Raw genomic sequence first — 27,319 nt, forward strand, 5'->3', positions numbered from 1 at the left:
TGACGCTGAAAACCCTGGACCTACGTGGGCAGGCCCTGGGGTGCGGACATCTATTTTGCCCTTCTTAGCCGAGGTACTTTAGCTGGGATATGAAGAGTGAAGAGGCAAACCGCAGCCAACACCCAGCTACCGCGAGCAGTGGGACTAAAATGCGCAACCGCAGTGGACATCTAGGCCTCAGCTCCGCTTCTGGTGGCTTACGTCATTACTCAGCGACAGCCTTGAGGAAGGTCCCTTCTCGCTCGCCATCTCTGCGACTTTAATGCGCTTGCGCACGTGCTGTCTACCAGTTCCTGAGAGGGACGCGTGCCGCGGAGCCAGGCTTACTACGTGACCCGGACACCAGGCATACGCTAGGGGCAGTCAGCTGTGCCTTCTCTTTCGGAGTTGTTCCGTGCTCCCACGTGCTTCCCCTTCTCCACTGGCTGGGATCCCCCGGGCTCGGGGCGCAGGTACCCAACGCGGGAGGGCCGGGTATGGATGCCAAGATCGGTGTCTGTGTTCTTCCTGGGTCGAGAGGGGACCGGCCTCAGGATGAAGGCTCTGCATCCGGACGGATACCTGGCCTACGCCGTTTGTCCTCCACCCCTCTTTTGGGGCGCTCCAAGATAACAGAATCACCTCTCCAATACGCAGCCGCTCTCGGCGCGTGCTTCTCGAGCGTCCTCGGGGATTTGCGTGGCTCGATAACCACCTCTAAGTAGTGCCTGTAACTGGGGAGTCGGGGTGAATGGGTGGGTGACAACAGTTGTTTTCCGTGGAGCTTGCCCGCAGTGCCTGGCTGCAGGTCTGGGCATTATACTTAGGGTAATCTGATTCCAGATCCTTCCACGTTCTTAAATCCTTCACTGTGCACATTCCTTTATACTCTTTATTCAGCAGTCACATTCAGGACTTGGTTTTGTTTGCCAGTGCACCTAAAATGGTGCCTGCCACATAGATGTTATGTGTAGATAGACGAATGAGTGAGCGAAAAATAATCATCTCCTTCAAGGCCTTCCCCATCCAGGCCTTCCATGACAGCTTCAGCCCATAGTAATCTCAGCCCTTCCTTCATCTGACCGGTCCCTCAGTATAGCTATTTTTTTTTTTTTTACATCTAATTTTACCTGTGTTCTTGTTCCTCATCTCATTCTCTTAAATACCTTCTTCAAGAAGAATGCAAGCTTGAAGTCAAGGGCCTTGTGGTACTACTTCTGGGGCTCCCACAGTAGCTAGAGCAAAAGGCAGCCCCCATTAATTAGTTGTTGATTGATTTTTGCGGGATCTTTATGTGGCCGGCAACACAAGGTTTACAAGTTGGGAAGATTGGCGAACTGGGAAGAGCTCAGGCTTTGGAGTCAGGAAGACTTGAGTGTGAATTCTGTCTGTCGTTTTTCTGCCTCGGGATATTTGAATTCTTTATACTTTCTCCTTTACGTATAAATTGGGGTCCTTGACAGTGACTTAGTGTTTTATAGTAAGACATATGCTAAAATCTGTTTGGATTGGAAGGTTAGAAGGGACAGTTAAGGTATGGTAAGTTTCAGTAAATGAGCTTTATGTTTATAATGCAGTAGGTACCAGAGTTTCTAAGTAGCATGTCACTTTTACATCTAAGTAGCATGTTACTTTTACAGTGATATTTCTGATGGTTTTTTTGATGTATTTATTGGGATGATGCAGTATTTTACTGTAGGTAATCACAGAACTTTTTTTTTTTTTTTTTTGAGACGGAGTCTCACTCTGTCGCCTAGGCTGGAGTGCAATGGCACACCATCTCGGCTCACTGCAACTTCCGCCTACCGGATTCAAGTGATTCTCTTGCCTCAGCCTCTCCTGCAGCTCCACTACCACTCCCGGCTAAGTTTTGTATTTTTAGTAGAGACGGGGTTTCGCCATACTCTTGAATTCCTGACCTCAGGTGATCCACCCGCCTCGGCCTCCCAAAGTGCTGGGCTTACAGGCATGAACCACCACTCCCGGCGAGAACTTTTGAGGTCTGTCTGTACAAAGGCTTCAATATCGTTTTCCCTAAAATGAGGAAACAGTTGGACACATTACATCATGGAATTATTCATTGATGGTTATTGATTTCCCTGACTTTATTAGTAACACGTGAATTTTTTAAGATTCCACAAAAACAAAAGAACAAAATAAAAGTCCCACCATCCAGAAGTAGCTACTTTATACTTTGGTATTTCCTTCCAGTCTTTTTTATTTTTCCCTCTGTTATGTGTATGCATAAGAAATGTTATCATACTTTATTCTGTCATGATCTTGTCATAAGCATCTATATCCATATCCTTAGTTGTTAAAAATGCTTGGCCCAGCATGGTGGCTCACACCTGTAATCCCAGCCCTTTGGGAGGCTGAGGTGGGCAGATTGCGAGGTCAAGAGATCGAGACCATCCTGGCCAACATATGCGCCTGTAGTCCCAGCTACCTGGGAGGTTGAGGCAGGAGGATTGCTTGAACCCAGGAAGCAGAGGTTGCAGTGAGCCGAGATCATGCCATTGCACTCCAGCCTGGCGACAGAGTGAGACTCCGTCTCAAAAACAAACAATGCTTTGGATATTTGGATATCTCCTTATGTATTTTAGTCATTCTTCTACTTTTTTGAATATACAAGTTTCTGGCTTTTAAAAAATATTTAATAGAGGTGAATTACAGGCTTTCCAGGCTGAGGGAAGGTTTTCTCACCTCCCAAGCCTAAGGTTTCCTGAGTTTAAAACTAGAGGCTGATGTCTTCCTGTGGAGCTCGTAGAGGGTTAAGTAAGACAATACTTATAGATATGCCTAGCACAGTCCCAGGCCCCACAAAAGGCAGCCAGCTAATGTTCCTTAGACAATCTAGTGCGCATGGCCAGTTGTATTTCTTTCTCTTTTAGTAATAATTTTTCACCATGCATCGGAAAAAGGTGGATAACCGAATCCGGATTCTCATTGAGAATGGAGTAGCTGAGCGGCAAAGATCTCTCTTTGTTGTAGTTGGGGATCGAGGAAAAGATCAGGTATGGCCTGGTAAATGCTTCCTGAATTACTTTTTATCTTGTCCAAAGAATCAGCATGTTTAAGCACTCTGCTGTTTCAGGACATAATGGCATTAAGATCTCTTTGGCTGGTAAGATGCCTAGTGGGAACCTTTCTTTATTTCCTGGAAGTGGTGAATTCTCTGTATTTAGATTGATTCGCAGACAAGCTAATACCTTTTGAAGCCTGGGGTGGTGGGTTGACCACAAAGTGAACTGTATGTGACCTGGCTTCTAGTCCAAACCTGGTCATTGCTCGCCTTAGAACCTTGGGCACTTCCCTTCCCTGGCCCTCAGTTTAGTTTCCACATCCGTCAAATGAGGTCTTAAGCCTGGCGGTCTCTAAAGTCTCTTTTGTGCCTGAAATTCTGTGACTTTTTTGTTTGGCAGGTGGTAATACTTCATCACATGTTATCCAAAGCAACTGTGAAGGCTCGGCCTTCAGTGCTGTGGTGTTATAAGAAAGAGCTGGGGTTTAGCAGGTAAGCTGGGCTCTTCATGTGTTTTATCCAACTTACAATTCCTGCTCATTAGTTAAATGCCAGGAAATGATTCCTTCACATATTTTTTAAGGGTCTTTAGTGGAGGTGCTATCTCTGAGGACAAATGGAGCTGATATCCTTTCTTCATTCCTGAAAATAAGTTTCAAATCATTTTCATGCTTTTTAAGTCACCAATCCAATGCCTTGCCTTCTGCATATGGTTTTCCTTCCTGCTTTTCTAGGCTGATTAAGCCCATCTCATTGCAAGTTCCTTCAAACTGTCTTTCCTACCTCAAATTTATTCCACTTTTCACTCTCTCTCTTTTTCTCCCCTTCTTTCATGGAGGGGGTATATGCCTCATCCCATGTCCAAGGAAAACCCCTTTATGTACCCTGTGTCTCCTCCCTCACCTCTTTCAGGACCTGTATTGTCTTTCCTCTGCTGGCCACCCAATACCCTTTGGAAACTTTCTCCTTCCTGTAAACATGCTCAGATTTTTCTATTATCAAAAGCTGATTACTTACATACCCAGATTTCTCTCTCAGGTTAGCATTTCCCCCGATTTTTATTGCCATATACCTTAAAACAGAAATCTTTTGCACTTAGTAGCCACTTTTGCAGTCTGGTTTCTGCTTCTATAATTGTGATCAAATTGTGCAGTTAGACATCCCCAGCAGCTTGATGCCTAATGCGTCAACTTTTCTCTCTCTTTCTCCTCCTTTTCAGAGCTCTGCCTCTTCTTCTACCAGTTCACTGCTGTATTTGACAGTTGGCTATTTGAAGCTGTGGTAGTCAAGACTTTTAGTCATAGATAACATACTTTCAACACAAATACAATTTGGCACAAAGGGATTTCATTGAGGTATATGGGATATTTCCTGGAATCCAAGGGGATAAGATTTCAGCTCTGCTCACGGGTGATCTAGAGTCACAGTACTAATGCTCCCAGCTCAGTTTGTCATCTCAGTGTATCTGCTCTATGCAGACCAACTTTCTCACTGCAGACCAGCTTTCTGTTTTCTGTTGTCCCCCTAGCAGAAACAACACTTGCGTTTTCCTTGTTTCAGGCCCAGCCATGTGGAAATCAGACTTTTTCCCAAAATTCTGGTGGAAAAATGCCCACACCTGGCCAGAGGAGGGTGGGGTTGGTCATAGCATAATACAAAGTTGGAAGTTCTACCTACAACTTTGTGTTTGGAGAAGTTTGGATGGGGTGGGTAGTGCTGTTCCTTGGCAGATAACCACCATGGCATCACCTAAGAAATAGTCTCCTTTTTTGGCTTCAGTGTCTTTACTCAGACCACCTTCCGGAGCTCTTCTCTTTCTCTGGATCTCGTCTCCTTACTCTAAACCTAGCTGGCTTGTGCGATTCTGTCCTTGAGCCTCTTCTAATTTCCAAATGTGCTCATCTCCGATCTGACTCTGAAAGCCTGTCTCCAGCTCTGGTTGCTTTATGCTGTGACTAACCTCCCTCCTTTTCTTTGCTCATGCTGTCTCCTCTGCTTGGAATGCCACTTCCACCTCCCCGGTATCACCTATTGAAATCCTGTTTCTCAGGGCCTGCCTCCTCCGTGAAACTTTTCCTGAGCCCCCCAGTCATACCTGGTGGTTCCTCTACCTTCCTCTGCACTTGTCCTTCTCCTATAATGTTTGCCAATGGATGCTTTTGCTTTAGGGTAAAGTCACTTACATACTGTGACTTACGTTCATTTTTTTTTCTTTCCCTTTTTTTTTTTTTTTTTTTTTTTTTACTTTCAGGTGATAAGCTTATTTAGTTAGGAGCCCTCTTCTATTTATCTTTGTATTTTCATACTTTTAACTGATTTAGCATGTTTATCATAGGTACTCAGTATACATTGAGTTGGATGTGTTGTTAACAGGCTCTAAAATTATTTTAATTTAAATTAGTACCAGAGGCTAAACTTGCCCCTGTCCTGTGGTCTTAAAGTGAAGGGATTCTGCCTAAAGGAAACCAGACAATCATAAGAGCCTTACTGATGAAATGTGAAAAGTGCAGAAAACCCAAAGATGAAAATAAAAAACATCTCACTGTCTAGGCATTGTCAGCATCTAGGTGTATCTTACAGGGATGTAGTTTTGAACCATAATTGGTATTCTGTTGTATATACTCTCATATTTAGAGAGGTAGGCATTTTTAATACAGATTGAGAATAAGGCCTGTTGTCTATCCCAGAATTTTAAGTTTTTAGGGCTTCTGGTTTTCACTATTTTTCATTTGGCAAATATGAGATGGGTGTGGAATTAGGCAGTTCAAAGTCTTCTGGGCAGATTTGCCTTTTGAATTTAAACCACCTGGCTTCACTTCTAAAAATCTACTTTTGTACCTCTTATAGCTCTTCTGCCCCACCCCTGTCTTAGTCTGGCAGAGCATTGTGTTCAAGCTAATGCCTGTTTGTAAGTCACGGGCTTAAGGCCTGAGCCAGAAGGGACAGTGGAGACAAACTCACCCACTGCCTTGGTTCATAGATGAGGAAGTGGAGGCCCACAGGAGGAAAGGCCTTTGTTCTAGCTATTAAGTTAGAGAACTATGGTAAAATTTTGATCAGCTGTAATCCTCCATTCTAGAACATTCTAATTCTCTCTTTTGGTAAAGGAAAGGTAAGTAGCAACTGGATATGCAGGGTTTTTAAGACCAAAAAAATTCAGGAATTCCTTAGAGATGTCCAGATTCCATTCTGATCCCTGTGTCCTGTATCATTATTGTCTTATGTAAGACCTGCCCTTGAAGACATAATCCCACATTCTCGGGGAGGAAGTCCTCTAGGAAGGATGAATAAAGTAACGTGCCATCACCTTGTCTTTCCTAGGATCTCTGGGGAACAGCACAGTGTAGTTGAAGCATTGGCTTATGACTGAGATAATGAGGCCACTCAGGTTTGGTTTCAAGCTCTGGCTTTGGCCAAATGTGAGGGTTAGCTACCCTATTACCCATCTTTTAAAGCAAAGTATTTGCTCAAGGTCACAGGGCAAAATAGCAGAGTTCACACATAGACTTATCACTTACTCCAAGCCCTTAAGCACTCTAATGCCTCTCATGCCTCTCCACTGCCCTCCACCTGAAGTGGGCCTCACACTTTCAAGTTCCCTACTAGCTCTGAAAGTCTAAGTGGGTGATCACTGAGCCTTTCCCCTGGTTCCAGCTCTTTAGCTGCTCTGGTTAACTGGCTCTCATGGGATTGGGGGTGTGTGATTGCAGTCACCGGAAGAAAAGAATGCGACAGCTGCAGAAGAAAATAAAGAATGGAACACTGAACATAAAGCAGGACGACCCCTTTGAACTCTTCATAGCAGCCACAAACATTCGCTACTGCTACTACAACGAGACCCACAAGATCCTGGGCAATACCTTCGGCATGTGTGTGCTGCAGGTGGGTGGCTTCCTCTAACCTGTGATTGAAGTCAGAGTCTTGAGGGTTGCTTGGGCTGCCTGGCTTTCCACTGGGAACAGATGTACAGTAAGGAGAGGAGAGTCCCATGTTCCCTATGCCCAAGCATTATTAGTGGAAGTCCTGGCCACTTTCCAAAGTACACTCGGTCACCTACCCCATATAAAAAGAGAATTTTAAATCAGCACTTGTCTAGAGACACCAGAACTGAAGTGATGAGTTATTATAACGGGTTCTAACTAGCTAAAGCTGATAAAGCAAATGCCAGAGACTTTGAGTGCCTCTAGGACCCTAGGTCCTTATTGGCATTCACCAAAGACTTTTTTTGTCCAGTGAGCAATGGGACTTGTTTTCCAACCGGATATAGACCAATGCACTTAAATGTCCTGTCCAGAGTGCCTGAGTGGCATACCCACCATGAAGGCCCCTCTCCCCTTTTCTAGCCCTTAAAAACCCCTCACTTTACCTCTCAGAGACTACTTGGTGAATTTCTGCACTGGTGTGTATTCTCTTGCCTGGCAAGTTAATAGACTAAGTTTCACTTTGTGTGTGTGTGTGTGCATGTGTGTGTAAGCACTGGTGGTCTTTGTTTTATTCTTTGTTTCTTTGATTCCTGTGCCACCTCCCTTCCCCATTCTCCCAAAAAAGACAAGACAAAATTAAGCACAAATCCTCACATTTTTGTGTGTTTATCATATACACTTACAACTGTGCCCATTATTATGTCAAGTTACATACCTTGCAAAATATGGGTTGTCTCCTATACTGCTGGCTTGCATCTCACCTTGGAGGCCAAGAAAGAGGGCATTATGCCTCATTTTCACCTTTACTCAGGGAAATGCCCTGGGTTATCACTGATTGGTAGGGAGTGGTCTTCTACTTGCTGCCATGATCAATTGCCTGAATAATGACTCCTGTGAGCAGTAGCTCCCCCATGTAGTATAGTTTTGTCAAACAGGTTTGAGCTATAAATGTCAGAAAATGTAAGATGTTTCTGAAATTCAAGTATGAATCAGTGAAGGTTGGAAAATTTGTTTCCAAATAGGATTTTATCAGAGACATTTTTGACATATAAAACTAACAACGTCTCTAATAAGAGACCCGTTTTTGGCATATAAAACCAGGTATTCGTATATTCGAGGGTTTGGCCCTCTTCTGTGGTACCCCTGTGTGTGTATCCTGGGAAGTCAAGGTGGGAACAGGTATGGTCTTGGCTTTGTGCTCTGAAGTCTTCTTTTTGCCTTATCACCTGGCTTTTGGTTAAGAGTCCCTTGGGTTGGGCCAGGCGCGGTGGCTCATGCCTGTAATCCCAGCACTTTGGGAGGCTCAGGTGGGTGGTGAGCCAAGATTGCGCCACTGCACTCCAGCCTGGGCGACAGAGCAAGACTCCATCTCAAAAAAAAAAAAAAAAAAAAAAAAGTCCTTTGGGTTGCTATTTGCATGACCAGCCCTTTCTAACGCCCCCTTCTTCCAGGATTTTGAAGCCTTAACTCCAAACTTGCTGGCCAGGACTGTAGAAACAGTGGAAGGTGGTGGGCTAGTGGTCATCCTCCTACGGACCATGAACTCACTCAAGCAATTGTACACAGTGACTATGGTAAGCATCTGTTTTTTAACTTAATTGTGAGGGTTCAAGTAAATCTGTTTTTGCTGTGTTCTGCTTTCTTTAAAGAATTCCTGTTGGGCAGCTCCAGTGAGTAGTCAGCACAGCCTCTGGGCTAAGAGCTCTTTGATTTTAACTAATGAAAAAGTCACTACAGTTAAATCTCAGGGTCCATGAGTATGCCTAGGAATCTCTGAATTTCACCTTTGTTTTCAGGCACTTGCAAATTCTACACCAGTGAGATTCAGATATGATACAGCTTTTATGTAGTTAAATTTTCTGGAATGATATTGTACAAGGAGCAATGCCAGTGCCTAAATTTGTGTATTGCAAAAAAAGGACCATGTGCAGACTGCTCACTGGCCCTTATCCTAATGGATGACGAAGGAACATTTGCCAGTTGTACTCCAGTTTGGCAAGAATTTCAACTCCAGCAGAGATTGTGTTCTCCCAAAGCAAAAGACACTGACTGAGGACATGGTGAGGAATTAGGGATATGTCTCACCTGATGCAGAGCTGGTCTCCTCACTTTATCAGCGTTGCCAAGTCAGTGTTCAGAGGCAAGTTTTAAGTCATGCCCATGTCCAGCAGCTCAGTAATGGTGGTCGGATTGGACTTAGGGTTTCCTGAGCTGCATTTATCTGATGAAATGGACTTTCCTCAAATCTTAGGGGCTGTTTCCTGTCATTACTTCTCCCTTCATCACTTGCACTACAGCCCTTTTGGCCTCCTCAAATGTCCTCAGACATGCCCAGCACACACTCCTGCGAGGGCCTCGGCACTTGCTGTTCCCACTGGAATGTGCTTCCTCTGGACCTCTGCCTGGCTCGCTTCCTCATTGCATTCAAGCCCCTGCTCAGATATCACCTCATCCATGTGGTCTTTCCTCACACCCTGTTTACAGTAGGCAGCTCCGCCTGTCACTCCTTAACCGGCTTTATTTTTCTTCAAAGCACTTGACAATGACCTAAAGTTATTATTATTATTTGTCTGTCCTCCTGTACTAGTCTCTAAATTTCACTGGAGGGCCGATCACAGTGGCTCACGCCTGTAATCCTAGCACTTTGGGAGCCTGAGGTGGGCGGATCACCTGAGGTCAGGAGTTTGAGACCAGCCTGGCCAACATGGTGAAACCTCGTCTCTACCAAAAATACAAAAAAAATTAACCAGGTGTGGTGGTGCACACCTGTAATTCCAGCTACTAGGGAGGCTGAGGCAGGAGAATTGCTTGAACTCAGGAGGCGGAGGTTGCGGTGAGCTGAGGTCACGCCACTGCACTCCAGCCTGGGCAACAGAGCAAGACTCCGTCTCAAAATAAATAAATAAGTAAATAAATTTGATGGGAACAGAGAGTTAGTTTTCTTTGCTGTTGCATTTCCAGATCTTAGAAGAGTTCCTGGCATTTAGTAAGCATTCCTTAGATAGTTGAGAGTGAATGAATGACTTTGTGCTCACATCAGTTTGTTCTTCCTCTCCCTCTGACATAGCTACCTACTTACCCTTCAGGCCTCAGCTTATCTCAGAGAGGCCCTCCCTCACTACCCTACATAAGTGACCCCCACTTGCTATCCGTGCAGTCTATATTTCATATGTAGCATTTGTCAAAATTTGTATTTATCTACTAATTTTTCTTCCTCCATCCATTATACTCCAAGTGCCATGAGAACAGAGGTCATGCTTTGTTCATTAGTGTATGCACAGCATATCTGGCACACAGCATGCCAATTTTATGAAATAAATGAATATAACTTAGGATGCTAGGAAAAATGTGGAAAAGTGAAAGATTTTAATAAGCAACGTTGCATTCAGTGTCTGATCCCAGTTTCAGCAAATACCATTTGGCACAGCAGTGTGTGTGGGAGTGATTTTGTTTCCAGCAAGATTGCCCATGTCTCCTTGGATAGAGCTTTGTATTTGGACCCTGGTCCTCAGCACTGTTTGCATGCCTTTGTTAATGGATGTTGTCTTTCTTTGTTAGGATGTGCATTCCAGGTACAGAACTGAGGCCCATCAGGATGTGGTGGGAAGATTTAATGAAAGGTAATTCTATAGTTCCCCCCAATTGTGGGGCAGCCACATTGGGAGGGACATTTTTATCTTGGACTCAACTGAAAACTTTGCTTTTATATTGGGGAAAGTAGTACAATATTCCAAAAATGATGAGATTCTTGACAGCAGCAGCAGTTGTGAGACTAACTGGAAGCAGTGAAACGTGGTGGAAAGTTGGAGCCAGGAAACCTCAATTTTGTCTTGCTGCTGGCCTTGACAGCTCAGTTAAACCAGGTTACTCTCTCTGGTTCTTAGCTTACTCATCTTTTAAATGAGTGATTTTTCTGGATCACTGCTTCCCAGAAGATATTTCATAGAGCAGTAGTCTTTCCAAACTTTTTATTATGAATATGACGTACTGGCATAGTAAAAATGATTAAGAGAAATATGGGAGGTGGGGTGAGATGTAATTAGAGGCAGAAAAAGGCGACAAAGTGTTTCTTCTGAGCAAAGGAACACCCATAATTTCAAATATGGTGTACGGTTTGTTATCTGAAATTAAATTTGTATGTATTTATTTTTATTTTATTTATTTATTTTTTTGAGATGGAGTCTTGCTGTGTTGCCCAGGCTGGAGTGTAGTGGTGCGATTTTGGCTCACTGCAACCTTTGCCTCCCAGGTCGAGTGATTCTCCTGTATCAGCCTCCCGAGTAGCTGGGATTACAGGTGCCCGCCACCACACTCGGCTAATTTTTTGTATTATTATTATTATTTTTTTGAGACAGAGTCTCGCTCTGTTGCCCAGGCTGGAGTACAGAGACACGATCTTGGCTCACTGCAACCTCTGCCTCCCGCATTCAAGCAATTCTTGTGCCTCAGCTTCCCAAGTAGCCGGGATTACAGGAGCCCACCACCATGCCTGGCTAATTTTTGTATTTTTAGTAGAGACAAGGTTTCACCATGTTGGCCAGGCTGGTCCTGAACTCCTGACCTCAAGTGATCTGCCCCACTCAGTCTCCCAAAGTGCTAGGATTGCATGTATGAGCCACCGTGCCTGGCCATTTTTTGTATTTTTAGTAGAGGTGGGGTTTTCACTGTGTTGGCCAGGCTGGTGTCGAACTCCTGACCTCAAGTGATCTGCTCACTTTGGCCTCCCAAAGTGCTGGGATTACAGGCGTGAGCCACCGTGCCCGATCATAGAACACTAGTCTTTTAAGAGGGAACATATGAGGAGGGTTTGGCCATATATGTCTGGGAAACACCTATACCGTTTTTTCCTTTATGAAGATTTGCCCCAGCCTGTTGTAATCTCTGAAAAGTCTTGCAGCAGCAGGGACCTGTTTAACTGATTGTTTCCCAAATTTATTTTACCAAAAAAATTTATTTTTTTGAGGGGTGTGGGAACACCAGTTAGCACCCTGTGAAACACCTTAGGAAATTTTGACCTAAATCAGTGGTTCTCATCTGGAGCCATTTGGCCCCCTGGGGACATTTGGCAATGTCTGGAAATGTTTTGATCGTAATGACTTTGGGAGGGTGGTGGTGGGTGCCGTGGGCATCCGGTGGGTAGAGGCCAGGGATGCTGCTGAACAACTGGTGGTGCACAGGACAGCTCCACACCAAAGAATTATCTGGTCCAAAATGTCAGTAGTGCTGAGGTGTAGAAATCCGAGCCTTGATGAACCCTGGGGGCCTTTCTCATTTTAACCATCTGTGATGCACTAAGTCAGTAGAATGAGCAGATCAGGAGGAGCAGCTGTGTGCTACTGAATACAACAGAAGCCTATGAAATCCTTTTCTTGCAGTGGGAGGATGTTTGAATTTTATAGTCAAACGCATTTTTTTCCCTGCTTGCAAGAACGTTTGTATTGTATTTCTTTGGGGAGCTTTCCTTTCACCTTCTTCCTTTTTTTTCTTTTTCCTAGTGACAAAAGATGAATTCATTTGTATTTTTTCCCTGTGTGACTGGTGATCATATGGGGGTTGGGTTTGGAATTCCCCATTTAAGGATGGCCTGAAACACCTCAGTGCTAAAGAGCAAGCCTGGGAGGATGAGGAGAGGGCCACGTGGTGTAGGGAATAGTGGCAGTCATGCACAACAGGAGGGCTTCTAATTGATCTCCTGGGATGAGTCCTTGGTTTTCTGATTTGCTGTATAAAGTATGTTCAGGTGCCTTGTGGAGGAGGTGCTGAATCATCTCACACTGCTCTCCAACTAGGTTTTAGCTTTTTCTGGCTTTCTTAGAGACACTTGGGGCCAGTTAATTTTTTTGAAGAAAAGTTATACTCTGTATAGACATTGCATGCCCTCCCCAACACTTCATTGCAGCGGTTTTGTATCTCAGGTTTATTCTGTCTCTGGCCTCTTGTAAGAAGTGTCTCGTCATTGATGACCAGCTCAACATCCTGCCCATCTCCTCCCACGTTGCCACCATGGAGGCCCTGCCTCCCCAGACTCCGGTGAGTCTGTGCTGGGGTCCAGGAATCTGGGGGAGGCTACGTTTTCTGTGTTGTTCCTCCTGTGACAGTGACAGACCTTCCCCTTCTCCTCTCTCTGGTAGGATGAGAGTCTTGGTCCTTCTGATCTGGAGCTGAGGGAGTTGAAGGAGAGCTTGCAGGACACCCAGCCTGTGGGTGTGTTGGTGGACTGCTGTAAGACTCTAGACCAGGTGAGTGTGGTGCTCAGCACTTCCAACACAAAGGTAGTAAAACATAGCATACGGAGCGTAACAGAAGCCAAGGTACGTTGACTCAAGACCCAGACCCTCCCTGGAGAAGGGGACTTTTCCCCTTGCTCATACTCGTGTGTGCTCAGCAACAGTAGGGCTATTTCATGTTGTGTGGGTTCCCAAAAGAAGTCTGGGGATTACCTCCCCCTAGTCAGGCTACAGATAGAGCAGATGAATTATTATTATTATTATTTTTTAAAAGACGGAGTCTCACTCTGTCACCCAAGCTGGAGTGCAGTGGCATGATCACGGCTCACTGTAACTTCGAACCCCTGGCCTCAAGCAGTTCTCCTGCCTCAACCTCCTAAGGTGCTGAGATTACAGGCATGATCCACTACATCTGGACAGATTACATTGAAAGAGGAATCCTCTCACCACTTTTTCCAAGAGAGGGCAACATACCTGTGTTCTGAAATTTCAGTTAAGTTTTGATGATATAAAGGCTTTTGCCTATAGCTTATTCAGAAGTGAGAGGAGAACTTGAGGCCCCTAGTCTGGTATTTACCCTGGTTCCAGTGCGAGGCCTGATGAGGGCCCTCTGGGGTAATACGTACCTGGTCTTTGAGTGCAAATAGCAGGCTGGGTGAGAGCTTACAGGTTGCATTTCTGTGCTCATTGAGGTGGTCTGCACTGGTAAACTTGGCTTCTCTGGTGGTTCCTGGGCCATGATGGGAACTGACTGGGCACAGCCCAGAGGTCTTTGAACTGTCAGGTGTGTTCAGGGTTCTAGGTCACCCTGAGCCAAATGAGCAGCATGGGTCGCTGCCCTTGAGAGGGAAGATAGCTGCAGTGACACCTCCCGCTTAGGGCTGAGTCCCAGCAGGCTGGCTTCCCTTTTCATTCTGGAAATATGATCAGCAGCTACATAGCTCTCTATGCAGCTCCAGCTGCAGGCCCTAGGCTTTTTTGATTCACTTCCTGGTACCCTCTTTATCACAAAAGAGAAGGAGTGAGTGATAGGATAAAGCAGGAGAAACTGATTCTAGTTAAGTAGTGTTATAAGAAAACAAATGGCCTATGACCAAAAAAAACCAAAAAGTTAATAGAAAAAGAGTACATAAAAAAATAAGAAGTGGTGTTTCCACTTGGCAGTTTCACTCTGCAGAAACAACTGCTATTAACAGTTTATTATGTATCCTGCTGCCTCTTTTTTCATGCACATAAATGAATTAAATGCGAAGGGGTCATACTACAGAGTGTAAGTGGTCCCCTGTTAGACATTTCGATTGATTCCAGCATTTCCACTGTTAGAAACAGTGCTCTTAGGGGATTCTTACAGATAAGTCTGTGGGCACTATATTTAGGATACGTTTCCAGAAGAGAAGTTGCTGGATGAGAGGTTGTGTGTATTCAAATGGGTGTTGTACCAGTTGATGGAACTATCCAGTGTGTGGAAATGCCTTTTTCTCTACACCCTCGCAGCCGTGATTCCTAGTAAACTTGTAAGTCTTTACTAATCTGATATGAGAACATAGGACCGTTTTAATTTGTGTTGCTGCTTTAATTAGGAGAGAGGAGGGTACCTTCTTCATATAATTATTGGTCATCTGTTGTTTTGTTGTTGTTGTTGTTGCTGTTGGTTTTTTTTTTTTTTTTTTTTGGTGAGCCGGTCTGCTTATTTCCTCTGCCCACTTTTTACTTGGATTTTGGCCTTTTTTGTATTGGTTCTTCATTTTAGGATGCATTTTAGTCTAGATTTGGTACCATTCTGTTATGTCATTGGATTTTTCAGAGTTTATAACTTCTATAATATAAAACAAAATGATAAAATACAGCCTTCAGGCAAGGCCAAGTTAAATACGACCTGGATTCCCTTTGAGTATTTTCATCTGGAGAAACTCTGGCTTCCTGAAGCCTCTCCCCTTCCATCTACCTTGGCCTGTGTCTCTTCAGTGTCTTCTTAGCATCATTGCCTAGGCAAGCATGACAACTTCTCAGGACCATCTGGCCTTCTTCCCACCCTCAAACACCTATTCCCAGCACAGATCCAGCTGAGGAGCAAAGTTTGGCCCCTAAGTAGTTAGTGGCTCCTGTCCTTCAGTGTCACTGGCATCTTGCTTTTACTTCTAGGCGCTCCTGTAGGCACTGGGGGCCCAGCAGTAGACAAGAGGGATGCACCTGCTTCATGGAGCTTGCCTCCTAGTGAGATGAGACAGTCAGTAAATAAAAGACATGAGCAGACCATATGGTGAAGCAGAAGATGCTACGTACAATGGGAAGAAAGAAAAAGTTGCAAAGAGGGATAGGGCATGCCAGATGAGGGTGGGGCGCTGTGGTTCTACATACAGGGGCAGGGGTGGCCTCATGTAGGAGGTGATTTTGGAGCCAAGCCATGAAGGAGGCGAGGTGAGGAAACAAGCCCTGTGGCTCTTGGGGAGCCACTGCTTCAGGCAGAGGAAGCAGCATGTGCATGGGCCTGGGGGAGGGGTGTCCCTCCGGTGTCCTAGGCCTGGCAGGGAGGCTGAGGGGCTGAAGCAGGGTGAGTAGGGGTGGAGGAGGAGATTTTTGGAGGATCTTTCAGGCCACTGGCAGGGCTTTCACACTTACTCTATAACAGATGGGAGCAGTGGAGGCTTTTATGCCCATAGTCTCCTTTCAGCACAGCTGCCAGAGGCATCCCCAGGCTTCTTTTTAAGAGGATCGTCTGGCTGCTGTGTTGAATATAGACTGGTGGAGTGAGGGTGGCAGCAGGAAGACTGATCAGGAGGCTGCTGTCATGATGGAAGAAGGATAGGGTGGTGGCTTTGAGCAGAGCAGTAGAGGAGGATAGTGGTGTAAGTAAGAAATGGTAGGATTTTATATATGTTTTGGAGGTAACAGGATTCGCTGACGAATCAAGTTATCAGGGAAGAATTGAGGAGGCTTTGGCCCAAGCAGTTGAACAGTTAGATGGGGAAGACTAGGTGGAGGAGGTTTGGGGCAACTTTAGGCGTTCAGTTTAAAGTTTGAGATCTGTAGTGTACAAATGGGAATGTACAGGAAGCAGTTGCATGTGTATAAAAGTCTGGTGTGGGCCAGCCAGGTGTGGTGGCTCACGCCTGTAATCCCAGCACTTTGGAAGGCTGAGGTGAGCGGATCACGAGGTCAAGAGATTGAGATCATCCTGGCCAACATGGTGAAACCCCGTCTCTACTAAAAATACAAAAATTAGCTGGGCATGGTGGTGTGCGCCTGTAATCCTAGCTACTTGGGAGGCTGAGGCAGGAGAATCACTTGAACCCAGGAGGTGGAGGTTGAAGTGAGCTGAGATCATGCCACTGCACTCCAGCCTGGTGACAGAGCGAGACTCTGTCTCAAAAAAAAAAAAAAAAAAAAAAAAGGTCTGGTGTGGACCAGGTGCCATGGCTCACCCCTGTAATCCCAGCACTTTGGGAGGCTGAGGCAGGCGGATCGCCTGAGGTTAGGAGTTCGAGACCAGCCTGCCCAACATGGTGAAACCCTGTCTCTACTAAAAATATAAAAACTAGCTGGGCGTGGTGGCAAGCGCCTGTAATCTCAGTTACTCAGGAGGCTGAGGCAGGAAAATCGCTTGAACCTGGGAGGTGGAGGTTGCAGTGAGCCGAGATCGCACCATTGCACTCCAGCCTGGGCAACAAGAGTGAAACTCCATCTCAGAAGGAAAAAAAAAGTCTGATGTGCAGGGAAGTGGTCCAGACTGAAGCTGTAAATTTGAGTTATCAGCATCTATTAAAAATTGGTACCAAAGGCCTTGAGACTGAAATGAGATGACCAAGGGAGTGAGAAGTCCAGGTGCTGAGCAGTGCTTTCTGGCCTGCAAGAACTGCCGCCCTCTTATTTAGCCTGGCATCAACCTCACTTCTCCACAGTGATGGTGATGAATGGTGGAAACTTGGGTCTTTCTTGGAGTTCACCTAATATGTTTCTGTTTCCACAGGCCAAAGCTGTCTTGAAATTTATCGAGGGCATCTCTGAAAAGACCCTGAGGAGTACTGTTGCACTCACAGCTGCTCGAGGACGGGGAAAATCTGCAGCCCTGGGATTGGCGATTGCTGGGGCGGTGGCATTTGGGTAAGGGGATTCAGTCCCCCATCTTTAGGAACTCTGGGCTCTGTGGGGGTAGTGTGCAGGGTTGGGGTCAGAGGACTGGTATCTCACGTTCCTAGTTCTGAGTTCTGAGTGGGTTCAGTGTGTGATTTCTCTAGGTCTTGATTTCCTGCCAGGAAACAGCAGCACTGTTTCCCCAACCCACCCTAAAGGTGCATGTTTACTTGTGTGTACACACAGACACATATATACCAGGGCCTTTGTAATCACTATTTACAGTTGAACAAACATGCAGAGGCAAAGAAATGGGAGTAAGAAACTTTACAACTCAGGGCATGAGAATGTGTATGACCAGCCTTGCTGACTGAGAAAAGTACAAGTTTGACATTTTAATGATTTTGATTAAAAGAAGCTTTCTTTGGCTTCTGAGGAGCTGGTTTTAGGTGTGATGTTAGTTTCTGTTTTTTTCTACTGGGTTTGGAAGATACATGCAGCTGCCAATAGAGTATGTTCTTCCAACTTCTCGGCCATAATAATGAACCTAGAACTTACTGTGTTTGCCTTTGTGCATTATCTTCCTTGGTGCTCTTTAGAGCTCTGTGGGCATTTTATAGATGAATCAACCTAGGTTTGGGGAGTTCCAGTGATTTACCCAAGATCCCCCAGCAAGTCAGTGCTGATAGAGCTGGGGCTTGAGCTTAGCTCCTGACTCCTTGTCCTTCGTTCTTCCTGCTGCTCTAGCTGTAACAGTCAGCCTCTTAGCCATTAGCATCTGCTGTTAGCATCCTTTATACTCAGCAAGGCAAAGCTAACTTGGAGGTTAGCTTTGGCCTTGGCCTGAGCACCGATTGAGCTCCCCAGCTTCACCATTTGAAAGCGTCAGCACAGCTAGTGATGAGCATGAAACTACTTCTTGTAGCAGTGCACTGGATTGGGAAGCAGTCTGTCTGTTCTGCACACCGAGGGCGTTGTCTCCACAGTGCTTCTAAGCAGCTTGCTTTCACAGATGTTGGTAGCTAAATGTCTGGAGTTGCTTTACTTTCCTTCCCAAAAGGTGTCCTGACTTTTTCCCTTGCTGTTACCTCTGGTTATCACCTTTGGGACAGGAGCAAACAAAAATATTTTCTTTTTTAAATTGTTTCTTTAAGATGTTCCTAATTTCTTAAAAATCCTTCTTTTATTTTGTTCTGTAGGTACTCCAATATCTTTGTTACCTCCCCAAGCCCTGATAACCTCCATACTCTGTTTGAATTTGTATTTAAAGGATTTGATGCTCTGCAATATCAGGTAGGAAATTTGGATTAAGAATTTTTATTTTGGACCTGGTGTGGTGGCTCACGCCTGTAATCCCAGCACTTTGGGAGGCCGACGCGGGCGGATCACCTGAGGTCGGGAGTTGGAGACCAGCCTGACCAACATAGAGAAACCCCGTCTCTACTAAAAGTACAAAATTAGCCGGGTGTGGTGGCGCATGCCTGTAATCCCAGCTACTTGGGAGGCTGAGGCAGGAGAATCGCTTGAACCCGGGAGGCGGAGGTTGCAGTGAGCTGAGATCACGCCACTGCACTCCAGCCTGGGCTCGAAACTCCATCTCAAAAAAAAAAAGGATTTTTATTTTGATACAGTGCTGGGTTTAAATCCAAGTGAAGTCTTTAGAATACTTGCTTACTTTCATAATATTTAGTTTCTGAAACTTGTTTCTAAAGTTTGTCATTGGTTTGACTCCCCACCAGGAACATCTGGATTATGAGATTATCCAGTCTCTAAATCCTGAATTTAACAAAGCAGTGATCAGAGTGAATGTATTTCGAGAACACAGGCAGACTATTCAGGTGAGGCTTGTTCTCAGACCCTGATGTGCAGGGCCAGTGTCTTGCTGTATTTAACTGGCTCTAAGATGTTTCCTGTTATAGACATGTATGTCTTGTGTAATTGCATGTCTTTTAGACAATGGTGGTGTTGTATGCTAAACCTGTTCCAGATTTTCAGACTCTTCTAAAGAAAAACATTCAGCAAACTAACAAATATATGTAGTTAGATTGAAAAGTTGTGTTTTTGTCCTTTGAATATGGAATAAGTGGGGTGGAAAGTACGCTGATTAACTAAAAGAGAATCTTTCTTCTGACATCAGCTCTAACTTTGCTTAGTTATTGCAGTTTTTGAAATGTTGCATCTGTAACTAGAACAATAACCTTACAGCTTAAATGAAAAAAAGAACTTTGCAAAATGTGCTCTGAATCTTTGTGGTTTAGCCAGTGGCCTATTTTCTTTTTTAAACAGTGTTTTCCCAAAAGTTCTAAAAATCTCTAGCACTCTGTAAGCCTGAATGGTCTGCACTTGTCCAAAGGCTGCAGTTTTGCTAAATCTCTAAGAGAGGCATGAGGTGATGGGCTTACAGACGGACTGAGACTAATGGGCTCTTACTGGAGGAGGTTCATTGATTATTTTTGGAATTGGGTTGGGAAGTGAGCCAGGTGAATTTGGCAGTTTATACCCTAGCACTTTATGCCTGTCAAAGCATATGTATATGCATGTCAAGAAGTTATACCTTTTTATCAGAGGCCAGATTATAAACAATGTTAAGTGTTTATGCCTTTCACCTTAATTTTTTCTTACTAGCCTCTTTCTAGAATCTCTTCATTCTGTACATTTCTGCTCACTTTTGCTCGATTCCCCCAGCTGGGAGGAGGAAAGGCTGCTGTTGGTGAGGGTCAGGCTGCAGGCAATGAGAACACGGAGACCTGTTAAAACTCAAGAAAAATACACAAACCAAAGAAGGAAAACATTTCCCTGAAATACCCTGCCTCGGGCCTTGCTCCTTCTTGAATTTGTAATCAAATACTCTCTCATATTACCAGAGTTCTTTTGTCTCCAGTGTGAGCACAGAGGAGGTGACCTTACTTTATGAGACTCCATTTGTGTACCTTTCAGGCCTCTCTTTGGGCTCAAGATTGAGAAAAAGAAGAATATTAGATAAAAGTTGGCTTCACCTCCCCTGGGGGGCTGCTTTCTGCTGCTTTTATGAGATGCTTGTTTAGTTTTTCCCTTGAAGAAGACAAGATCTGGGGCCCTGTTGAGGATGTACATTCTGCTGCTAGAAATGAGCAGGGTTGGCCGGGCATGGTGGCTCATGGCTCTAATCCCAGCGCTTTGGGAGGCTGAGGTGGGCGAATCACTTGAGGTCAGGAGTTGGAGACCATCCTGGCCAACATGGTGAAATCCCATCTCTACTAAAATTTAAAAAAGTTAGCCAGGCGTGGTGGCATGCGCCTGCAATCCCAGCTACTCGGGAGGCCGAGGCAGGAGAATTGGTTGAACCCGAGAATTGGTTGAACCCTGGAGGCAGAGGTTGCAATGAGCCGAGATCACACCACTGCACTCCAGCCTGGGCGACAGAGTGAGGCTTTGTCTCAAAAAATGAAAAAAAGAAATGGGTGGGGTTGCCGCCTCCCTGGCCCATCAGCTTGTAGCAAAGCAGAACATCTTATTTGTAATGAAATAGTTCAAATGTATAGGAGCGTGCAGAGACCAATATAACATTCAGGCACCCAACACTCAGGTTTAAGTATTGTTGACATTTTGATGTTTGCTGTGTTTGTTTCATATTTCAAATGTCATTTAGATTTTTGTTTTAAAGAACTAAAACATCACAAATACAGTTGAAGTCCCTCAACCCCTTTCCATCCTATTTCCTTCTGTCCCTCCCCATGGGTGACTTAGTTCTGATACTGGTGTGTGTCCTTTCAGTTCATGTGTTTCTATGTTTACTACGTAATTATCTGTCCATAAGTGGAAACATACTGTACTTGTCCTCCTTCAGCTTTCCTTTTTTAACATTTGTTTTCAAGATCTATGCAGATTAAAGCTTGTAGATCTGGTTGATTGATCTTTAGGTATTATATGAGTAAATTATATTTACATGTATGTTTCTCAAAGTGGAGTTGTTGGGTTTTAGGATTGTGTAGTTTTCCAGCTTGCTTAAAATTTGCCAAATTCTCCTTCAAAGTGTTTATACCAGTTTACCCCCATGCCAGCATTCATTTGAGTTTTAATTTCTCTAAGACCTCATCAACTCTGGATGTTTTAACAGCTATTTAAGTTTTGTGAAATGGTATCTCCCTGCTGTCTTTAGCATTTCACTGATTATTGTTGAGGTTGAATATCTTTGTTTATGTTAATTGGTTATTCAGGTTTCCTATAAGATACCTCTTCATTGCTTTTCAAACCACTTTAAAATTAGCAGGAAGCCCTGAAGAAACTGAAGAGGTTGTTTGTATGCATAAAGATATGTAAGTGTTTATGTATTAAGAAAATAACAAGTTCTAGAAATGTCCGTCAGTGCAGGGAGACTTGGCCCTTGTAATCATGCCATCAGAGCAGGGAGCACAGTGCCCGGCATGAGAAATCCGACATCCTCCTCTTTAGCCACCACTGGGGTCGAGCTATGCCTCGAGCTCATCGGCTTTCCTTATCTGAGGCTGGGGGAAAACGTGAGGAGACAAAGGAGAGAAAGGAAAGGGAGCCACCATCTATCTCTCAGCACTGTGAGTCAGGCACTGGGCAGGGCATCTTTATATACCTGCTTTATTTTTCCTTCAAGCAGCCATAAGATAGGTATTTCCTTCATTTTACAGGAGGAGGAGTCTGAGGCACTGTGGGATTAAGTGACTTGTCCAAGGTCATATGATCAGTGGCCGAACTCTCTGAACCCAGGTGTCTGACTCCAAGCCCATCCCATTTTTGCCCTGCCAGGAAAAAGTAGAAAGGAGGAATGAGAGGAGAGAAGGAAACAGGGAGAGAGAGGAAAGAGAACATCCTTTATGATGAGTCGCCAGTAATCACAGCTGTGACATGAGTTCACTATGCTAATAATCTAAATTTTCCTTCCCCATAGTATATACATCCTGCAGATGCTGTGAAGCTGGGCCAGGCTGAACTAGTTGTGATTGATGAAGCTGCCGCCATCCCCCTCCCCTTGGTGAAGAGCCTACTTGGCCCCTACCTTGTTTTCATGGCATCCACCATCAATGGGTAAGGTACTGTGGGCAGGAGTCCTTACTCCCGTGGCAGGCTCTTGCAGATTTAGGGGCATGTAGTGGATGTGGCCTGGGCCTGGACAGCCAAGTCTGATTCTCAGAGTCTCTGAGTGTTTGAGGCTGCTTCATTCTCTACTGGGCTTCTGCAAATGGAAACTGGTCTCTTAATGAACTGTTACACGTCTCTGGCCCGACATGAAATGGGCAGTGTAAGACTGAAGAATTTTAGTCTGATGTGCTGAGTGTCTGCTTCTGTCTGTAGGTGTGATAAAATGTTGAAAAATACATGGATGGTGATACCAATATCTTATATCTTAGAAAATACAGTATTAAAGTACTATAATTATCATAAGAAAGCAAGCTCATAATGACTTTTTTTAAAATTTGAAATATTTAATTTTTTAATTAGAAATATTTAGTGTTGGCTATTGAAAAATTAGAACAGGTAAGCAAAAGAAAAATCACCTGTAGCCAGGTGCAGTGGCTCACACCTGTAATCCCAGCACATTGGGAGGCCGAGGCAGGCGGATCACAAGGTCAGGAGTTCGAGACCAGCCTGACCAACATGGTAAAACCCCATCTTTACTAAAAATACAAAAATTAGCTGGGTCTGGTGGCGCGTGCCTGTAATCCCAGCTACTCTGGAGGCTGAGGCAGGAAAATTGCTTAAACCCAGGAGGTGGAGGCTGCAGTGAGCCGAGATTGCACCACTGCTCTCCAGTCTGGGCGACAGAGCGAGACTGTCTCAAAAACAAAACAAAAAAAAAAAAAAAAGAAAAATCACCTGTAATTCAACCATCTGGAGATAGATTTTGTTAGAATTTTGATGTACATTTTCTCTGCATTTATTTTACTTTTTTCATTTGAACAAGAAAAACATTTTTAATTTGCATTTTGAATATAACAATATTGTGAAATCTTTTGAGGTCAGTAAATATGTATCTCCAATATTGGGAAGATTTCTGTATAGAAATCACATCTTGAAGAGATTATTCTGTATGCAGATTTATTGTGACTGCTTTGCTTACACTGAAAATACTGAAATAAAATGGATTTTTACTTTTCAAACAGCTTTATTGAGATATAACTCACATACTGTACTATCTATCCATTTAAAATGTGTAATTTAATGGTTTTTAGTATGTTCACAGAGTTGTGCAACCGTGCTCACCACAACCAATTTTAGAACATTTTTATCACCCCATAAAGAAAGCCTGTGCATCCTCCTCCAGTTCCTCCACACCCCCCAACCCTAGGGAGTCACTAATCTACTTTCTGTACCCATAGATTTGCCTATTTTGGACATTTCATATAAATGGAATTATAAAATATGTGGTCTTCCATGACTGACTTGTAGCATGTATCAGTATTTCATTCCTTTTTATGGTTGAATAGTATTCTATTGTATAGATATACCACATTTTATTTTTCCATTTATCTGTTGGTGGACATTTGGGTTATTTCTCCCTCTTGGATATTATTAATAATCTTGCTTTGAACATTAGCGTGCAGATTTTTGCGTGGACATGTTTTTCAGTTCTCTTAGGGATACACCTAGGAGTGAAACTATTGGGCTAACTCTATGTTAGACCATGCGAGGAGCTGCCAGACTCTTCCAAAGCAATTGCACATTCTACGTTCCCACCAGCAGTATGAGGGTTCTGACTTTTCTGTATCCTCTCACACACTTATTATGTATCTTTGTGGTTATAACCATTCTAATAGGTGTGAAGTGACCTCTCGTTATAATTCTCATTTGCATTTCCTGGTGACTAATGATATTAGCATCTTTACATGTGCGTATTGGCCACTCACGTATGTTCTTTGGAGAAATGTGTATTCGTATCCTCTGTTCATCTCTCCAATTGGGTTGTCTTTTTTATTAATGATTTGTAAGGGTTCTTTATATATTCTTGATACCAGGTCCCTTTTCAGATATGATTTACAAAAATTTTCTCACATTCTATGGGTTTTTTCACTTTCTTCTTCTTCTTCTTTTTTTTTTTTTTTTTTTTTTTTTTGAGACAGACTCTGACTCTGTCGCCAAGGCTGGAGTGCAGTGGTGTAATCTTGGCTCACTGCAACCTTCACCTCCCAGGTTCAACCCATTTCTCCTGCCTCAGCCTCTTGAGTAGCTGGGATTACAGGTGTGTACCACCATGCCTGGCTAACTTTTGTATTTTTAGTGGAGACGGGGTTTCACCATGTTTGTCAGGCTGGTCTCAAACTCCTGACCTCAGGTGATCTACCCGCCTCGGCCTCCCAAAGTGCTGGGATTATAGGTATGAGCCACCATGCCCGGCCACTTTCTTTATAATAATGTCTTTTAACGACAAAAGTTTTGAAGTTTTGTTGCTTGTGCTTACTCTTTTTTCTTAAATAAATAAATAGGATACTTTTGGGAGAGCTTTGTTATGTGGTGTGGAGAGTGGGCATAAAACATCTAGCTTTTATCATTATTTGAGTAAGAGGAAGTATTTTACAGTCTTTGAATATAATAATGAGTACTATGAAATGATGTAATGAAAAGTGCTGTGTGTACCCTGTGGTGACATATGCCTGTGACTAAAGACAAGGAGAAGAAAACTCAACAATGAAAGCTGATTGAGTTATCAGATTATAGGTGATTTAATTTTTTTCTCAACATTTTTTAGCTATTTTATGTCACCTTATAAGTGGGCATAGCAATGAAAAGAATTACTGAGGTGGTGGATTTGTTTTATTTTCCAAACTGGAAATGTTCTCAGTTCATTTCCTTATGCACCGTACTTCTAAAAGCAGCTCCGTTAGTTGACCATTTAACTTTGTTCCAGCTTCACTAAAACTGCCTAAAGCCTTTATGCTAAAGGCTTTACTTACATCCTTTTTCCAGTCCTTATTTTTTAAGTTCACATCACAGTCCTGTGAGGTGTATAGAATAATCCCCTCTTGAAGATGAGGCGAAAAGAGATTCAGCTCCTTGCCCAAAGATACTAAGTAGATGAGCCAGGACGTGAGCCCAGGCCTGGGTGGCCCCAAGCTCAGCCACCGTGCCACCCTGCCTCCTTTGGACAGGTGCCTGCTATGCTGGAAGTTCAGAGATGAGCAAGGCTGTCCTGGGGGAAGCAGGGGTCTGGTGTTTCAGCAGGTGGAGGAAAGCAGCTCTCTGTCCCCTCCTAGACAGTGGATTTGGGACCTTGTGCCTGATTCCTTTTGCCTTTGTTTCTAGCTATGAGGGCACTGGCCGGTCACTGTCCCTCAAGCTAATTCAGCAGCTCCGTCAACAGAGCGCCCAGAGCCAGGTCAGCACCACTGCTGAGAATAAGACCACGACGACAGCCAGATTGGCATCAGGTACCCCAGAACCTGACCCGGGTCCCGCGGTTCACAGCAAGGCCCTTCAGTCTTACTGATCCTCGCTTCCCCTGTGACATCATGGGAAGCACCAAACCTTCCCACCATCAGGCTGAGAGGTTGAGTCCCCAAGAGGAGAAGTAGCTTTTTTCGGAGGAACAGCAGTCCAGTGACCAGATGGGAGCCAGACTAGGGCCTTCTGATGGTGGGGCCCTTGTGTGTCCTTGTCTCAGGGCATGGTTGCATTGAGATCCCTTTGGGGTTGGTATCGTGGCAAGTTGAATATCCACCAAAAACAATTTTAAACCACCCAGTTTAAATTCTTACCACACGTCTCTGGCCACCATGGGACAAATATAAAGTGAAACATTTTTCCTTGCTTTTTTAGACAATACATATTTAATCATTGTTTCTTCTTTTGTGTGTGTGATTGTGGGGAGCAGCGCGGACACTGTATGAGGTTTCCCTCCAGGAGTCAATCCGATACGCCCCTGGGGATGCAGTGGAGAAGTGGCTGAATGACTTGCTGTGCCTGGATTGCCTCAACATCACTCGGATAGTCTCAGGCTGCCCCTTGCCTGAAGCTTGTGAACTGTATCCTCCTCTGGGTTTCACTGGCCCTGTGAAAAGGAGAGGGGCGGTGAAAGAATTCAAAGGACTTGAGTCCTTTGTTTCATAGGATGCTGCTCTAGAGAAAGGGGAAAGTTGAACATTTTCAATTTCCTTTTTCTCTTCCTTTTTTTTTTTTCTTTCTTTTTTTTTTTTTTGAGATGGAGTCTCGCTCTGTCACCAGGCTAGAGTGCAGTGGCACAATCTCAGCTCACTGCAACCTCTGCCTCCCGGGTTCAAGTGATTCTCCTGCCTCAGCCTCTTGAGTAGCTGGGATTACAGGTGCCAGCCACCACGTCTGGCTAATTTTTGTATTTTTAGTAGAGACAGGGTTTCACCATGTTGGTCAGGCTGGTCTCAAACTCCTGACCTTGTGATCTGCCTGCCTCAGCCTCCCAAAGTGCTGGGATTACCGGTGTGAGCCAACGCGCCTGGCCCTCTTCTTCCTTCTTTTATGTGTTTCTGCTTAGGACACTGAGCTCCTGTTCCCAGCTACGGAAATTTGTTCTGCCTCCAGAGAGTAGTATGACCTGTCTTCGGCTATTTGTTTTGTTTTGGTTTCTTAACTCCAGACCCAGGTACTATGTTAATAGAGATACCCTCTTTTGCTACCACAAGGCCTCTGAAGTTTTCCTCCAACGGCTTATGGCCCTCTACGTGGCTTCTCACTACAAGGTAACTGCAGCTAGCCCTTGTGTGAATGGTAGCAGGGAGCTTCAGCATTTGGCAGTCCCCTTTTACTTGATTTGCATATTTTATTACCCAATGGCTTAGGTGACTGTTCCATTGGGACATTGATGAGTTCCACTGATCTTGCTGTGTGTAGGTATAGAGCATGTAGCTCCATGCAGTAACGGGACAGGGTGGAAAGCTGTGTCCATTTTTAAAGGAGTGCTTTCATTTCTTGCCTGCCTACTAAACTGATAGGATGAGGTGACATTGCAGTTGTGGCCCGGTGGTGCAGTTTGACCTGAGACCAGCTTTATAGCTCTGGGCTACTTTTATGGAACAGTGAATTTGAGGGTTTAGAATATCTGAGACTCTTAAAAACAAAAGGGTTGGTTAAAAAGGATACTTTTTGAATGTCTAGATAGTATTTTTATGAACAGCTTT

The 27,319-nt window shown here is 44.3% G+C and overlaps 1 protein-coding gene across 2 annotated transcripts in view, besides 1 other annotated feature; it reads left to right on the forward strand.

The window, feature by feature from the left end:
* Positions 42-501: an enhancer, noted in NCBI's record as "active region_4592". NCBI's record gives its function as "activates an Ori minimal core promoter by ATAC-STARR-seq in GM12878 lymphoblastoid cells {active_cell/tissue: GM12878}" and the evidence as "EXISTENCE:reporter gene assay evidence [ECO:0000049][PMID:35858748]".
* Positions 289-27,319, forward strand: part of NAT10 (N-acetyltransferase 10) — a 41,280-nt gene continuing 14,249 nt past the window's right edge. The window contains exons 1-15 of one of the 2 annotated variants that reach the window (NM_024662.3): positions 289-452; positions 2,871-2,993; positions 3,402-3,493; positions 6,712-6,883; positions 8,376-8,498; positions 10,483-10,544; positions 12,840-12,954; positions 13,056-13,163; positions 17,119-17,252; positions 18,422-18,515; positions 18,962-19,060; positions 22,123-22,259; positions 25,473-25,597; positions 26,041-26,191; positions 26,785-26,881. In NM_024662.3, the coding sequence (NP_078938.3) occupies positions 2,886-2,993; positions 3,402-3,493; positions 6,712-6,883; positions 8,376-8,498; positions 10,483-10,544; positions 12,840-12,954; positions 13,056-13,163; positions 17,119-17,252; positions 18,422-18,515; positions 18,962-19,060; positions 22,123-22,259; positions 25,473-25,597; positions 26,041-26,191; positions 26,785-26,881 (1,617 nt within the window). In that variant the 5' untranslated portion in view covers positions 289-452; positions 2,871-2,885. The remainder of the gene's footprint in view (positions 453-2,870; positions 2,994-3,401; positions 3,494-6,711; positions 6,884-8,375; positions 8,499-10,482; positions 10,545-12,839; positions 12,955-13,055; positions 13,164-17,118; positions 17,253-18,421; positions 18,516-18,961; positions 19,061-22,122; positions 22,260-25,472; positions 25,598-26,040; positions 26,192-26,784; positions 26,882-27,319) is intronic. The other variant, NM_001144030.2, reaches the window with a different exon arrangement.

The sequence above is a fragment of the Homo sapiens genome, chromosome 11, assembly GCF_000001405.40.
Source record: "Homo sapiens chromosome 11, GRCh38.p14 Primary Assembly".
Classification (NCBI taxonomy): Eukaryota; Metazoa; Chordata; class Mammalia; order Primates; family Hominidae; genus Homo; species Homo sapiens.